General features: G+C 35.0%; 1 protein-coding gene and 1 long non-coding RNA gene across 18 annotated transcripts in view; one reads left to right on the top strand and one right to left on the bottom strand.

Annotated features, from left to right (window-relative positions):
* LOC124902891 (uncharacterized) overlaps window positions 1-16172 on the top strand; it is a 32969-nt gene extending 16797 nt beyond the window's left edge. The window contains exon 3 of the long non-coding RNA XR_007063234.1: window positions 15833-16172. This is a non-coding gene — a long non-coding RNA (uncharacterized LOC124902891). The remainder of the gene's footprint in view (window positions 1-15832) is intronic.
* PIK3C2G (phosphatidylinositol-4-phosphate 3-kinase catalytic subunit type 2 gamma) overlaps window positions 1-16827 on the bottom strand; it is a 483857-nt gene that overhangs the window by 297714 nt on the left and 169316 nt on the right. For all 17 annotated transcript variants that reach the window (XR_931307.3, XM_047429007.1, XM_017019471.2 and 14 more), the window contains 2 exons: window positions 8070-8163; window positions 5065-5159 (listed from right to left, as the gene is read on the bottom strand). Coding sequence is in view for 16 of the 17 variants with exons in the window: in XM_047429007.1 (XP_047284963.1) it covers window positions 5065-5159; window positions 8070-8163 (189 nt within the window). In the remaining variant the exon portion in view is untranslated. The remainder of the gene's footprint in view (window positions 1-5064; window positions 5160-8069; window positions 8164-16827) is intronic.

The raw sequence follows: 16827 nt of genomic DNA, 5'->3' as shown, positions 1-16827 counted from the left end.
GGGGAACTAATCTCAAGATCTTTAATTAAATTCTATCGTCAAAGACCCTTTTTCTCCATAAGGTCACATTCACAAATCACAGGTTTCTGAGGTTAGGCTGTGGACATATCTTCTTTGGGGCCACCACTCAACTCAATACTTGACTAGTGGTTAAAGTGTTTCCTATTCCAAATGGAAAGGGGCACTACATTTAAGCTTTTGTAATTAATTGTTACATAATGGGGGAGGGGCCTCCTGGGCATAAGCTCCAAATGTTATGGTTCCCATTTATAGCCACCTTTTAGGATGCAAACTGTGAGGTAAAGCTTTTAAATTCAAACACAAAGCTTCTAGTTAACTCACTTGCCTTGGAAAATAGGGGCTATTCATCCTACATTCACTCTTCCAGTGGAAGAGACTCACGTGAGCCTAAGTCAATTTCACCTCTCAGAAAGGCTACCCACAGTGATGCCAAGTAGTCAAGATGGTTTTCATTCCAATCTTACTTATTCATAGCTCAGTATCTGGTGAGGCAACTTTCTGATCACTGATAGTGACAGGTGGAAGTTGTGGAGCAGGGAGCGCTGTTGAGGATATATAGAGTTATAGGGCTTGGTGAATAATTGGTCATGTTAGTGAGAAACAAGGAAGACCTCAAGACCTGTGTGAGCAAGACAGGATATTTAGTTCAGTTTTGAATATGGTGAATCTGAGGAAGCAGTAATTCATCCACGTGAAAAAAAATCTCATAAACTCATGACTGATGGGTTTCTAGTTTTTTTTTTTTTTAAATAAGACTTTTTTTTAAGGAAAGATATTTTGAGTATTTTTTTTTCATGAATCGTGAGATGGGAGCTGCATCTTTAAAGTTTTAACACAAACATTTTGCACAGAAGCAGTCACTCCCTAAATATGATGCTTGGCTTGAGCTATATTTTTTAACTCTGATATATTTTAAATATAATTAATATTATTTTATGCTTAGTGCATGTTGCCTGATTCTTAATTTTTATTTGTTTTAAGGGGATGTAGGCACTTTTGAATCTCCCCCCTTAGAGGATCAGGAACAATAACTAATAGGTCATAGGCTTAATACCTGGGTGATGAAATAATCTGCACAATAAATCCCCATGACACATGTTTACCTATGTAACAAACCTACACGTGTGACCCTGGACTTAAAAGTTAAAGAAAACTCCTTCCTGTTTTATTTCTCTTTTTTCATATTCTTACAAACAAAGCTCTCAAAACAAACAGTCCATTTATAATTTATATTCTTTTCTATTCCTTCTTAGTTTCTCCTTGAATCACTGAAAGGAAAAATGGGCTTGATTTTTTTTTTCGAAAGGATGAGAATTATACACAAAAAAGCTTCCCTTCCAACCTTTTTGGAAACAGTGACGTAATTGTGTTTACATGAATTTGCAAGTATGACATTGATTTACCACTTTGTGTGCACCCATTGTTGCCTTTCAAATGACTCCACTTTTCATACAACTTTAGCAAATGAAGAACTTACTGAGGTGGTCCAAGTATTTTAACAATCGTTAGTCAATTAGAATAAGTCTTTAATATTTTATTATATTTTTAATATACTTTTAAAACTTTTTTTTTTTTTTTTTTTAATGGAGTCTCGCTGTTGTCAGCCCAGGCTGGAGTGCAATGGCGCGATCTCGGCTCACTGCAACCTCCCGGGTTCCAGCAATTCTCCTGCCTCAGCCTCCTGAGTAGCTGAGATTACAGGCGCCCGCCACCAGGCCCGGCTAATTTTTGTATTTTTAGTAGAAATGGGGGTTTCACCGTGTTGGCCTGGCTGATCTCGGACTCCTGACCTCAGGTGATCCACCAGCCTTGGCCTCCCAAAGTGCTGGGATTACAGACGTGAGCCACCACGCCCGCCTAAAACATTGTCTTTTATATATTTTATACTTTATATATTTTTATATTTTTGTTCAAATATTAAAATAAAAATTGTTATCTGGCTATGTTACTTTTTTAATATGTGTGCATTTTAATAATGCATGCAAAAAACAGTAAAGTTTTAAGGGAATTAAACATTGAGTTTAATGGAGTCTTACATTTAATATGACAGCAGAACACCACAAAGTGTATCCACTTAACTTTCCTTTGCCCCAAAGTAGCTTTCTGAAAAACTGAAGAAAATAAGACTTCATTCAGAGCTTTAATAAGAGTCTATTCATGGAAGGGCCTCATGCCAGTCAATGTATCTTATGTTTTATTATAATAACATGCTAGAGGAATTGTTCTGCTTTTTAAATTAGGCATTTAAAATGAAAATAAGCATCAAATCAAACAGTCTCCGACCAAGTTCCTGTGTATCTTCTTTGCTACATCTTCTTGAGTGATTTTCATGAGAAGAGTGATCTCATTATGAGTAACATTTCTTGAAGCAGAAAAATATGACACTCCAAAATGATATTGACTTGCTGTTTTCCTGTTATTTAGTGGTCTTAACTATCAATCAAAGCAACTAAATGATGCCTGTCATACATTCAGGAGAGTAAAACATAGATCTAATTTTATCCTTAGGTCATTGAAACTTATAATTGTTAAAACTTTGTCCTATGAAATTAAAATTGAATCAACAAGGTTAACAATACAAAGGAAAGTAGGAAGAACAGTATGCAAAGAATATTATGTTCAATAGAATCAAGTGTAGGTGATAATAGGATAAATCGTTTTTTGAAAACAGGATTGGAACCAAAATTTGTTTTTAATAAGTGAGTTTTTAACATTAGAAGGATTTTATTCTTAACTCTCAATTATATAATCACAAAAAAAAATCAATGTTTCAGGAAAACACACTTAATCCTAACATAAAATTCATGTCACTTATCACAAAGTTAGATAGTCAAGTGTATAAAGGAGAAACAAAACAGAAATAGTAATTTTAAACCACATGAGACATCGCAAAGAATTTTTTTTGTTAATAAACAACCCATAAATACTTTTACATACTACATTTCAAAAATGATGCATCTATGAATAATATGATAAAGGTCATAGTGTTGAAGACTTTAAATTCAAGGTCATCATGTTGAAGACTTGAAATTAAATTCAAGGTTGTAGTGATGAAAAATTCAAAGTCAAGGTCTTGATGACAAAGACTTTAAATCCAAGGATATATTGTGTAAGAAAGGACAAACCACTAGCATTCAAGTTATTTATCCAATTAGTTCTCTGTGAGTACAAAATATAAGAAATCACTACATGGATTGGCCTAATTAGAAATTTTATTTCATTTATAAATAACTCTTAACTTCAGGAAATCTTTTCACAGAATCATTCAGTCACATGGTATTTATCTACCCTTGTGTAGGTATTTCTGCTACACTTTAAATCCTTATTCAAAACAATTCTCTCTCCATTTCTCTATGTTTTTAAGTATAAAATATTTTAAAAGGAAGAAATGTCAGCTGGGCTTGGTGTCTCACACCTGTAATCCCAGCACTTTGGGAGGCCAAGGCAGGCAGATCATGAGGTCAAGAGATGAAGACAATCCTGGCCAATGTGGTGAAACCCTGTCTCTACCAAAAATACAAAAATTAGCCAGGCGTGGTGGTGTGTGCCTGTAGTCCCAGCTACTCGGGAGGCTGAGGCAGAAGAATCGCTTGAACCAGAGAGTTGGAGGTTGCAGTGAGCTGAGATTGCACCACTGCACTCCAGCCTGGTGACAAAGTGAGACTCCGACTCAAAAAAAAAAAAAAAAAAAAAAAAGAAATGTCTGTCCTTTAGCTAGAGAAAAAAAGCAACCCATTTCCTTCTTTACTTCAAAAACACAAAACAAACCAAAACAATCCAATTCCTAATGTAATGTCATACAGAACACAGGGCCTGGAACAATATTTCATTCTGGTTTTCCTGCTATATGCTGAGAATAATTTAGTTATTTACATTATTGAGAAATCTATTTAGCAGACTAGAATCATCCCAATGCTTCCATCAGCAGAAGGCTTGCTAAAAAAGGCACGAGCAGTGGCATCTACAAATGGGAACATCAAAGACTCTACTCTCTCTTTCTCCTCATCTTCTTCTGATTCATCCATATCTGCTGAATCATCATCAGCATCATCATTATCATTTTTTCTCCTCCCCCTCATCTTTCTCTTCCATCTCTTCATATTCATCAGGACCCATTTCCAATCATACTATAGACACCCTGAACGTTGGACATGCCATATGGAATTGGAGAATGGCAACATTAAAGATATTTAAAGTACAGGAAATGGTAGGTATAATACCCTTCCATATATCGTGGTGTTGTAGAGAATGTGGTACAGCTGCTCCAGTCATATACCCAGCCTGGGCTGATGACTGGAAATTCACAAGCTAATCCAGGTCCTTGAACTTCTTCTACTTCACCTTTAGCATTCGTTAGTCTCCACTAGCAACTGTCCAACTGACAAGCCTTCTCAGGAATAGCATCTTTTGACAATCTTAATTCGGTGTGTGAAGGAATAGTGGGGTTGATGTACAGAAGCTAAGTTCTGGCAGAAACTATGGGGAAACTGAAATGCTAATATCCTCAGGTGTTGCTATAGACATTCTGGCATCTTATGAATCAGTCTTATTTCTTCACTAATAATATTTCAAATTTATGCTTTGGGAAAAGTTTAGTGCTCTAGAAATTTTCAACAGAATGAGTATACATTAGCCTTTGAATTTTATGGTTTATAACTAATATTGCACAGAAAGTATTTTTATACCACATATTCTTCCAAAAACATTCAGTCTCATAACTAGATTTTACATTAAAATCTTCAAGGAGTAGATATACAAATTGCACTTGTCATTTAAAGCTACAAGAAAGGCATCATTCAGATTTGAAATTCTGTTTGGATTTAACTTCCTGATTAACAGTAGCAACTGTCCAACTGGTAGATTTTGAAAATGATGACACATTATCCTCTTAAATAAAAATGACATTGACAAAGACTCAAAACTGCCTGAATTTTATGGTCTGTATCAATTATAAGGTAAAGAAATATTCTGCTTCCTCTAAAGCTGCCCCATAGAGAAGGTGGCAATTAAAAAGGCATCCTTGCCTGATTTAGTTAATCTTACCAGTAAAGACGATGGGCAACCTGGATGCTCTGCAAGGAGCGGTGGAGTAGAAGTTGCACTAAAGGACTCTCAAGGTTCCATTCAAACTTGACAGCCTGAAGTAAGAGACACAATTACTTTACTTCTCAGTAACAAAATTATAGCAGAATACAGAGGGACTTCAGAGGCTTGAGAAAAGACTAGAGAAAACAGCATGCATATTTTAACAAAATGCTAATAACACATTCGATGATTTTATGAGTCGGTATATGACTAATAACAAAACACATATACATTACACCATTTGGATTTGTATAGTTTTGCTTCCTTTCCTTGTATATGGATAAGAAATAAGGGCAGGTGGTTGGTGGAGTTCAACCATGTACCAGGGGAGAATACTGACACAAAAAGTCCTGGATTATTAAATACAATATTATTAAGCCACAGATATTTTTTCCTATTTGGAGATGAAATTAATGCACATTCAAAGCCTTAACAGAAATCATCATCAACTGGTGTATCATTATCAACCTCCAGGCCTTGAGGTTTTGCTTAAAATTTCAAAACTGACTGTTACTACCGTAACTCAGTCCCAAATCCTTTCTTTCATCTCCACTGTGAACAACTCTTAAGTTTTTTAGGATACTCAACTGGGTAGAAAACAGAGATAACAGTGGCAGCCCCCACTATCCTTAGGGACCTAATTTAGGGCTTCATCTGTCCTCTGCAGGGACTTCACTGACAGGAATCTGTAGCTGAGCTGCTATCATCATCCCAGGAATCTGTATATATGAAAATGAAAACCCAGTTCTCATAAAAATGCCCATTCCTGCTTGAGAGACAAAGCTTATATCTTTAGTTGTTTGATAAACCATTTAAGTCTCTCTCTCTTACACACACACACACACACACACTCTCTCTCTCTCTCTCAAAGCTTCAGAGTCTAAGCCAGGCTTTATACCACAGTACAGACAGCAGGAAAAAATGAGTACAATATCCAGTCATACATACACTTGAAGAAACACCTCAATATGCTAGCCATCCTCAAGAATGGGAAAGTTTATAAATTCCTAAGATGTGAGGGTGCTGAAGATGAGTTCAGCAAATTTGCATAAACTCCTGATGCTGTCTGACTATAGAAGGACAATAATGTGTGCTGTCTTAAACTGTAGCCATGGCACTCTATCATTCACGTGCTACTGCTGGACTGACTAGGTCATGGGTTTTATTTATGCCCTAATAGTGAGCATATTATATGAGCATATGAGCAGGAGGTATGTTTCAGAATTACCTACATGCTTGCCTTTTTAGATGTCTGCCCATTATTTCTTCTTGAACCCAGTATCTATGTGTTACCCCTCGCTTCCAAGCTTCCTGCTTTACTCTGTCCACTGTTACAATTTCCCCCTAAATCCCGCCTGACCATCTAGAATGTAGACAATTTTTCTGGTGAACACCACATTATCTGAAGTGGTTTGCAGTAACCCCTGGGTCTGGGTCTTATTTGACTCTTAGCTATGAACTGCATCTTCTGTTTTGTTACAGCCTTAGGGTCTTTTCTTACAGCTTTAATATAGACTGCATAATTCTAACATGATAATACGTAACAAAATAGCATGATTCAAGAGAACAACCAACAGGTTAGGATTTTTTTATGTGTTGGAATGTTTGAAATTCAAGGTAGAGTATAGAAGTCTAAGGACAATGAGTGTTTTGAAATTCTTCCAGTGTTTTTTTTTTAAATTTTTCTAGTCACATTATCTATTTCTTTCCATCTCAGGACATTTTATAACTTTCCTTTTTAATCATGACATAGTTGAAACTTTAATTTTGCCTTCTGTGTATTTGCTGTGTTAGATTGTGTGCACACTGTCTTATACATTTGGATTTGTGGCAATATGGGTCTCAATGACATTCCTGATGCCAAGTGTACTTACTCAGATAGAGACTTTCAAATGAGTTTAATGTCTACAGACTTTTGTGAAAACGTATTCTCCTGAATTGGGCTCGAAATAGCATGTTGCCATACCCATGAGTCATGAGATGAACGGTAAACTTGTAAGTTAGATTAACCCTTATTTTCAAGAAAGACTGGATTGTACTCTCTGGTACAGCTATTTCTAAACCAGCTCTCTTTTTTAAGGAGAACTTCAGAGAAATTCATAATCTCTGTGCAGTCATACTCTACTAAAGTTTATTAATATAGGCTCCTTCTACCAGTTTCCAGTCACTTTTCAAAACCTGAGGCAACTGACATTCAAACTAGCTGTAACAACCTGACCTTTCAGATAAAAAAAAAAAGCTGGATTAAAAACAAAACAAAGCATAAAAACCACAAGTTTAGATCTATTTAGCTGTCAGCATACAGTCATCCTGGAAAAAACAAAAACAACTTACCTTCTATTCTATATCTATTAGATACTCTGTTATTTACATGGTCATGTGTGGCATGTTTAATTTACTTGTTTATATTTCATCGTATTCAGACTAAATCAGTCTTTGCTTACATTTCTAGATAACTTTATATTATTTTCTAAAATTACTCCAACATTGTGATATTTGATGATACTAAAATGTACTATTTGGTGGCAAAATTTGGCTATTAGAAATTACTGTGATAAAATTTATTATCAATATTATAAGCCTCTAAAGAAGTGCAAGAAACTCATAAATTATGAAAACCTGCCTAGCAAATGATTATTTTCTACATAACATTTATTTGGTAATTTTTATCATTTTATATATACATATTTATAAATTTGTATCATGAGCATGTCTATTTTTTCATATTCTAATTAATAAATGAAATCATTTTTAAAAAATTTTCCTTTTTGGAATTAATGTATTTTGTAATTGTAACAATTTCAGCTAGAGAATGTCTTCATTACCCATGTTGACATCATTTAGTCCCTTGGGTGGCCAAATTGCAATGTCACTTCTAGATAGACTATTGTTGATTCATTAGGAACCTTTTAGAGATAATTAGTTAAAACCCTGGGTTTCCTTAGCAACTCTTCTATTCTTACCTGAACTAGCTGTGGGAGATATTCCAGTAGTTCATCATTCAAGAGGTTGTCTAATTGTTGAACTGCCACTTTACGAATTTCTTGATCTGGAAAACTAATACACAGTAAATATATCCACTAAGCTGTTAATGGTAAGGAATAATGCATAAGACATGTCAGGGAGAACAGAGAATGAATTCTACCCCCAGTGCATAAGGTAAAACAATTATCCCACAATCGATTAAGGTAATATTAGCACCAAATAATTCTTATTTTTTCATATTCTATACTCTCGTGTGGACTACAGTAGAAAATCCTTTCAACTAGACTTTGGAAATGTGGTTTTAAGTCTGATTCCTGCCGGCTTTCTTATCTATAAAATGTGGATTATGGATAATCTAAAATCTTTTCTAAAGTAGTATGAAAATCTTTGCTTCTTATTTAGCCAAGCATTTGATAAATAAGTTATTACCAACTGGAAATCTGATTATATGATTCAAAATGTGATCTAATATTTTTAACCAGTCTTAGCCAGATCTTACCACAAACCAGAAATCTAAAGTTCTTTAGAATAAATAAACAAAAATAATTTAATACAGCTAAATCTTACTAGTAGACTGTGAAGTTCTTGAAAGAAACTGTGCCTTATTCATTTTTGGATGGCATTTGCCTGTTGTAAGATTTAGCACCCATTAGGCACTTAATAAATGTTTTTTATTTAAATAAATTTGTGAGGTATTTAGCATTTGAAGTCCTGTTCCAAAGACAATTTATCCTGAAATGGATTCCTCAAATTGTCATCTTGCTCCATCAGAAGAAATAGATTCAATTATCTCAAAGTTCCTGGGAAGTGCTTGGAGATAATTTTGGCTCCATATTGCTTTGACATTGATTAGATATTACTAGGGCTTTGGTAAGAAGAATTAATTTTAAAGAAACAATTTTTTAGAAAAAAATTAACAAGCATAATTTAAAACGTGAAGGAACTGCTTATAGTAATTTATTTACAAATAAAAACAAACAAACCAGAAATTAATTTTGTAGACAACTAACTGAATGCTTTTCAACCAGTCAGGTGAGGGCTCTAAAGATTGGCTTCCAGTAGGAGGTTAGAAAACTGTAAAGTCTTTAATGGTCAGTGTTTTCTCAGCATATCAGGTTACTGAAGGGTTAAATGGGAACTATGCCGCCATCGAGTCAAGTAAACAGTGGTATCACATAACTCAATTGTCCTTGATGGCAGCTTCAAATGGAATGCTAAGCAAGTTACATATTTTTTCTTCATTAAACTGAGCATTTTAATTGCAACAAGAATTTTACCTATAAGGTTAGTCAGTCAAAACTCTTATTTCTGACCTGCAAGTACATTTCCAGTATTTTTCTCCTGTTGAACATTCTAGCAACGAGACCTACTGAGAACTGCGGTCCAGACACATTTGGTGAAGTATTGCAAAGGTCAGAAGATCTCAGCATAACGTCATGCACAGGTGGAGGGCAGAAAGAGTGCAATTAAAATGCAAAGCTAGAAGCAGTTCAGCTTGTTTTAGTACATTAAGACTTTAGATTCTCCTAACTAAATGTGATTGACTCTAATTTATTGCTCTCAATTACTAAACCATTTGTCTGAAACTTGTAGACATCAAGGTCAGTGTGAGGACAGTTTGAAGTCTTGGAGGGAATAGTTACTAGGTAAGTTTTGTTGCCTAAGTGATGACTTGTTAAGTTAGCTATCAGTCGCCCATGCTTCCCTGTGTGACTATTTTACCTTATTGATAGAAATGACAAAAGAGGAGTATAAAAGGAACATCACAACAAAACAATGCTCTTTGGTGAATGCTATATCTTTAACTATGTGTTTATTTCCACTAGAATGCAAACTCCAGAAAGGCAGTAAATTTTTGTCTGTTTTGTTCATAGATGTGTCCCCAATGCCTTCAGATTTGTAGGCACTCTCTACATATTTCTTAGAAGACTGTTCAACCTGAACTCATTGTCGTTACACGTAAACATCTTTACTACCAGCCTTCCTCACTGTAGTCTGTGTTATCACCTTTCTCCAATTACATAGACTTAAAATGTTAAAGGTAATATTTTGCCCCTCTTTATTACTTTTTTCACCTTTCCCATCTGATGGAATTCTATTCATCCATGAACTCCAAGCTCAAGCATCAATTTACCTGTGAAGCTGTTCCAGCAATATTTTAACACCCTGTGGAGTTGATAACTCCCTTCTCTATAAAATTCTATATTATATACATCATTGAGGGCAGGCTCATTTAGTTATGGTTCCCTAGCCCAAGCGCAGTTGAATAAAAGTTTTTGGAATTCCTAGTATTCTCTTATCTTTACATCTAATCAGTTGCCGAGTTCTGTTGATTTTTCTATCCTAATGGCTCTAGCCTTTAATGCTTGCTTTTAATTTCTTCTGCTGCTGTCTACTCTAGGCCATAATTACCTCATGCTAATACTAACATTTTTAATAGTAATACCTTATCAAATCCCTTAAACTATTTTATTTGTCATAAAACATTAAATGGTTTTCTATATCTAATAAACCTCCCTTTAGTACACACTGCAATCTAAATATTCAAGGCTAGCAAAACACTCTAGATTTTTCTTCTACCATTAATATTCACTGAACCAGTCTGGCTCATTGATATATTCTACTCTGAAAATGCATGTGCATTTTCACCTTTGTGCACACTGTAACTTCTGCTGGAAAACCCTCCCTTAGTTCTTTAAGTTCTAGTCCTCCTTCAAAATGTAGATCAAATTCCCTTGAAGGTGCCTCTGTTAGTCCTTAGTAATCACTTCTCTGAAAGCCAAGGATATTGACTGGTTGACTCCCACTTAAGATATGACAGTGTGTATTAGAATTTATCTTTTTACATATGTGTCCTTATTCCTCAACTACTGACTAATTCAACTGAAGATGAGGATTGTTCAATGTTTTCTTTTTTATTGCTAGGATTTAGCAACTTCATATATGGTTGCAATGAATAAAAATGCATTGATCATGATGATAATAATTACAAAAATACTACTATAAAGTCAATTTTATTTCCTTCTGTGTTTTGAGATAGTTTCCATTGGTTGCAATAGGTTTAATTTTATAAATACCACTCATATAAATTCCAGATCTTTTTTTCTCTCCGTCAAAAGCATAGGAGAAAAACAAATCTGAAGGCAATGAAAGAGAGGGATGTACAGGCATACCTCAGAGATATTGCAGGTTTGGTTCCAGACCACCACAATAAAGTAAAAATATCACAATAAAGCCAGTCGCACATTTTTTTTTTGTTTTTTTTAATGTATGTAAAAGTTCTGCTTATACCATACTGTAGTCTACTAAATGTGTAATAGCATTATGTCAAACAAATCATTAAATTAAAAACTTTTATTAAAAATACTTTGTTGCTAAGAAATGCTAACAATAAACTAAGCCTTCAGCAAGTTCTAATCTTTTTGCTGGTGGAGGGTGTTCGGTCCATGTTGATGCCTGTGGACTGATCAGGATGGTGGTTGCTGAAGGTTGGGGTGGTTGTGGTAATTTCTTAAAATAAAGGCAACAATGAAGCTTGAATCGATTGACTCTTTTTCATGAAAGATTTTTCTGTAGTATGTGATGCTGTTTGATAGCATTTTATTAACAGTAGAACTTCTTTCAAAATTGAAGTCAATTCTTTCAAGCCCTGCCACTGCTTTCTCAATCATGTTTATATAGGATTCTAAATCCTTTGTTATCATGTCAACAATGTTCGCAGCATCTTCACCAGGAGTAAATTCTATCTCAAGAAACCACTCTTTTTTGCTCATCCATAAGAAGCAACTCCTCATCCCTTCAAATTTGTCATGAGATTGCAGCAATTCTGTCACATCTTCAGGCTCCACTTCTAATTCTAGTTCACTTATAAGTTCTACCACATCTACAGTTCCTTCCTCCACTGAAGACCTGAACCCCTTACTGTCATCTATGAGGATTAGGATCTACTTCTTGAAACTCCTGTTAATGTTGATGTTTTGACCTCTTCCCATGAATCACCAATGTTCTTAATTATATCTAGAATGGTGAATCCTTTCCAGAAGGTTTCCAATTTACCCAGATCCATCCAAGGAATCACTGTCTATGGCAGCTGTAGGCTTATGAAACATATTTCTTAAATAATAAGACTTAAAAGTCAAAATGACTCCTTGATCCAAGGCTTCAGAATGGATGTTTTGTTAGCAGGCATGAAAACAACATTAACCTCCCTATACATCGCCATCAGAGCTCTTGAGTGACTGGGTGCATTGTCAATGAGTAGTAATATTTTGAAAAGAATCTTTTTTTCTGAGCAGTAAGTTTCAACAGTGGGCTTAACATATTCAGTAAACCATGCTGTAAACAGATGTGCTGTCATCCAGGCTTTGTTATTCTATTTATAGAGTACAGGCAGAGTCATTTTAGCAGAATTCTGAAGCACCCCAGGATTTTTGAAATAGTAAATGAGCATTGGCTTCAATTTAAAATCGCCAGCTGCATAGTCCTAACAAGAGAGTCAGCTTGTCTTCTGAAGCCTTGAAGCCCAGCATTGACTTATCTTCCCTAGCTATGAAAATCCTAGATAGCATCTTTTTCCAATAGAAGGTTGTTTCATCTATATTGAAAATCTGTTGCTTAGTGTAGCCACAGTCTTCAATGACCTTAGCTGGATCTTATGGATAACTTGCTGCAGCTTCTACATCAGCACTTTCTGGTTCACCTTTAGGTTACAAATACGGCTTGCTTGCTTTCTTCCTTCCTTCTTTTCTTTTCTTTTCTTTTTCTTTTTGAGATGGAGTCTTGCTCCATTGCCCAGGCTAGAGTGCAGTGGTGCAATCTCAGCCCACTGCAACCTCTGCTTCCCAGATTCAAGTGATTCTCCTGCCTCAGCCTCCTGAGTAGCTGGGATTTTAGGCACCCGCCACCACACCCAGCTAATTTTTGTATTTTCAGTAGAGACGGGGTTTCACCATCTTGGCCATCTGGCCTTGAACTCCTGACCTCATGATCCACCCGCCTCGGCCTCCTAAAGTGCTGGGATTACAGGCATAAGCCACTGCGCCCGCCCGGCTTTTTTCTTAAACCTTATGAACCAACTCTGCTAGCTTCAAACTTTTCTTCTGCAGTTTCCTCATCTCTCTTAACTTTCATGAAATTGAAGAGAGTTAGGGCCTTGCTCTGGATTAGGCTTTGGCTTCAGAGAATGTTGTGAGATTTGATCTTATATCCAAATCACTCCGACTTTGTCCCTTGCAGCAATAAGACTGTTTCACTTTCTTATCAGTCTGTCTTCACTGGAATAGCACTTCTAATTTCCTCCAAGAACTTTTCCTTTGCATTCACAATTTGGTTAACTGTTTGGCACAAGAAGCCTAGCTTTTAGCCTATCTAAGCTTTCAACATGCCTTTCACGTTATGCTTAATCGTTTTAGGCTTTTGATTTAAAGTGGAAGACATATAACTCTTCCTTTCACGTGACTACTTAGAGGCCATTGTAGGGTTATTAACTGGCCTAGTTTCAATATTGTAGGGTCTCAGGGAACAGGGAGGCCCAAGGAAAGGGAGAGAGACAGGGAGCAGCCAGCAGGTGGAAGAGTCAGAACACACACAACATTAATGGACTAAGTTCACTCTGTACTGTGGGTGCACCTTGTGGTGCCTCAAAACAATTGCAATAGTAACATCAGCAATCGCTGATCACAGATCACCATAACAGATATAATAATAACAATGATACTTGAAATATTGTGAGAATTTCCAAATGGGACATAGTTACACAAAGTAAGCACATGCTGCTGGAAAAACCTCACCGATAGATTTTCTTGACTCAAGGAAGCCACAAATCTTCAGTTGTAAAAACACACTATCTGTGAATTACAGTAAAGTAGAGCACAATAAAGTAAGGTATGCCTGCATTTTTCTTTCAAAAACAGGAGAACAAAAAATTAGTAATACAGTACCTATATAGTCAAAAAGGAAAATTGTGTATTTGTATCAATATATGCAAATGCTGGGAATAATTTTTTGCACTTTAATGGAAAGGGATGTCTCTGTTTATTTATTACTATTGCTTGAAGTTCCAGAAGAAGCTGAAAGAGAAATAGCTATAAAACTAACCACATGACATTCTGAGATGTGACTAAGGCCTAACTTGACATTAAAGCATGTCCGAACATAGCTTGCATTTGACTATTTTAGGAAGTGTTGGCCGCATTAAAAATGATGCCAGCAGTACTGCTGAAGTTCCTGCAACATGGGCTCTTTCATACTTGTTGGCAATATAGGTCAACATGTATTAAAACAAAACCAAAAACAAAATTTAAGTGTGCTTATTTTTTTTGATCTATCTATTTACCTTTTGGGAATTTATTTTAAGAATATGATGAGTGACGTGTGTGAAGATATGTATGTGTATGCAAACAAAATTGGGAATAATATAAATGTCTAAAAATTAATAGTTAAATTAAATATGATATAACTATGTGATGGAATATATGCATTCCTTAAAAATAGTAAAAAAGTTTAATGAAATAAAAATACTAAGAGCCATTTTTTGTAGTATAATGCCATTTTTAAAATATGTATATGTCTCTCAATATGATTAACAAAAAGATGAGAAGGATGAAAACATTAATACCAAATATCTGAATGGAGGTGTCATAGATTACTTTAATTTTCTTTTTTAAGCTAAGTTTTAAAAAGTTTTTCAAATTTTCTATACGAAAGTTTTATTAATTGCTAAGAAAACGAATAATACTTTTTAAAAGTAAAGCTTGTCCAACTAGTTAATGAATATATATGAATAATTACGAACTCATGACTAACACTAGAAAAAAGCTTCAAATCATATGCCCTTTTAAGAGTATACATTGTTGCGTGAAAGAGCAAGCATTCTACTTTTTAGTTGCCTTAAAATTTTCTTCTAACATAGAATACCTCTGGAGAATTTATGCTTAACTTGATACCTTTTCAAAAAGGGCTCCTGAACTCAGGTATAGATCGATGGACAAATATGTTCCACAAATCCTGGCATTTCTTTTCTGTGATATTATCTGAAATTATTTAAACACTCTTTTGGGATATAGTTGTTGGCATTTCATTCTCAGTAACTTGATCCTCAATGAGGTGAGGGCTACGCATTATTTCTCTGACTTTGGTGTGATATTTACAGACTGAAATGTCATATGTAACAGAAAAACTACAACCTATTTTGAATTTTCCACAAGCCAGGTTATCCTGCTTTATTAGATTTGCTTGAAAAATGCACATATAATTCCTTTATATCATACCAGGAGACACTCTTTAGCAATTCTGCTAACCTTGGAACTACTAATTACTATTGAAGTGAATATTACACTTTGAGTATGGGACTTAAACAAAGTACTGCTAGGAGATTCATGAGGCTGATGTCAACTAGGACCTTAATTACATTTATAAGAAACTTCCTTATAATCAATCATAAAATGGATTATTACAATGTAACAAATGGACATCTGGCTTGAGATATAAAAAAGATAAAGGTCAATAAAATTTCATTATTTCTTGGGAAGCAGATCATGTAAAGCAAAAGAAATTCTCATTTATTATGAAAAAAATACTTCTTAAAATTAGGCTTGACAAGAATTCATGTACAATAATCAATTCTTTAAGGTAGTTCATTATTCTCTAAGTGTTCACCTAAGCACTTTATGTTACTTAATTTATTTTCCCAAATGTGTCTTAACAGGGAGGAAACACAAATCACTCTGTCTCTCTGTTTCAGGATTTAATTGGCCTCCAAGTTGAGCTAACAATTGAGTCTCTGGAATCTGTTAAAGGACAAGATCTCATCGCTAAGATAAATATAACTCTGTACATTAACCATTAAGAAATTATCTACACTTGAACATGGGCCATTGTCCAATGAAGACACTGAGAGACAAAGAAAAAAATACTCTATGAAGGCTAAGATTGTAAGGGTTAATAAAAAGAATCAAAGACACATGGCTAAAAACTCAGAAGGTGGAAAAGGTATAATTAAAGCAACTTCATGATTATTTTCAAAGGAACTTCAATGAAATAGCAACTCTATATCTTGCCAACAATGTAGGGTAAAACACAAAATGGAGGGCCAAGCAAAGGATTAAGTTGAAATGGTAATGCTTACACGTGCAGGGAAGGAAGAGCACCAAGTGTTTAGGTAACTCTCCAGCTCAAGGTGGAGGTAATAAGTGACCAATGGTTAGGATTTGTTGTACAACAGTGGCCTTTTCTAATGCTGGGTATCAGGACATTTTTACATTCTTAAAAATTATTGAAGACTTCAAAGAGTTTTGGTTTATGTGAATGATATCTATCAATAATTATATTAGAAATAAATTCAGGACATTTAAGAAATATTTATCAATTCATTTGCAATCACATTAATAAACCCATTTTATGTTAACATAAATAATATATTTCTGAAAAGAATATTTCCAAAACAAAGACTATTTGGTGAGATTAGTAATATTGTTTTACATTTTTGCGAGTCTCTTTAATATGTGGCTTAATGAAAGAGAGCTGGATTCTCTTACTGCTTCCACGTTAAATCTGTTGCCTTATTTTAAATCATGTGGCCCCTGGAAAACCCCACCCTACAGTCATGAGCAAATGAGTGTGACAAAGGCAAATAGCATCTTAGAATTATTATGGAAATAATTTTAGCCTTGTAACACCCCTGTAAGCATTTGGGGGATTTCAGGCCTCACTTTTAGAACCTCTGATGTACACAGCACA

Source organism: Homo sapiens, chromosome 12, assembly GCF_000001405.40.
Source record: "Homo sapiens chromosome 12, GRCh38.p14 Primary Assembly".
In the NCBI taxonomy this organism is placed as follows: Eukaryota; Metazoa; Chordata; class Mammalia; order Primates; family Hominidae; genus Homo; species Homo sapiens.
Note: the sequence above shows the minus strand (reverse complement) of the source record. Positions and strands in the feature narration are given on the sequence as shown.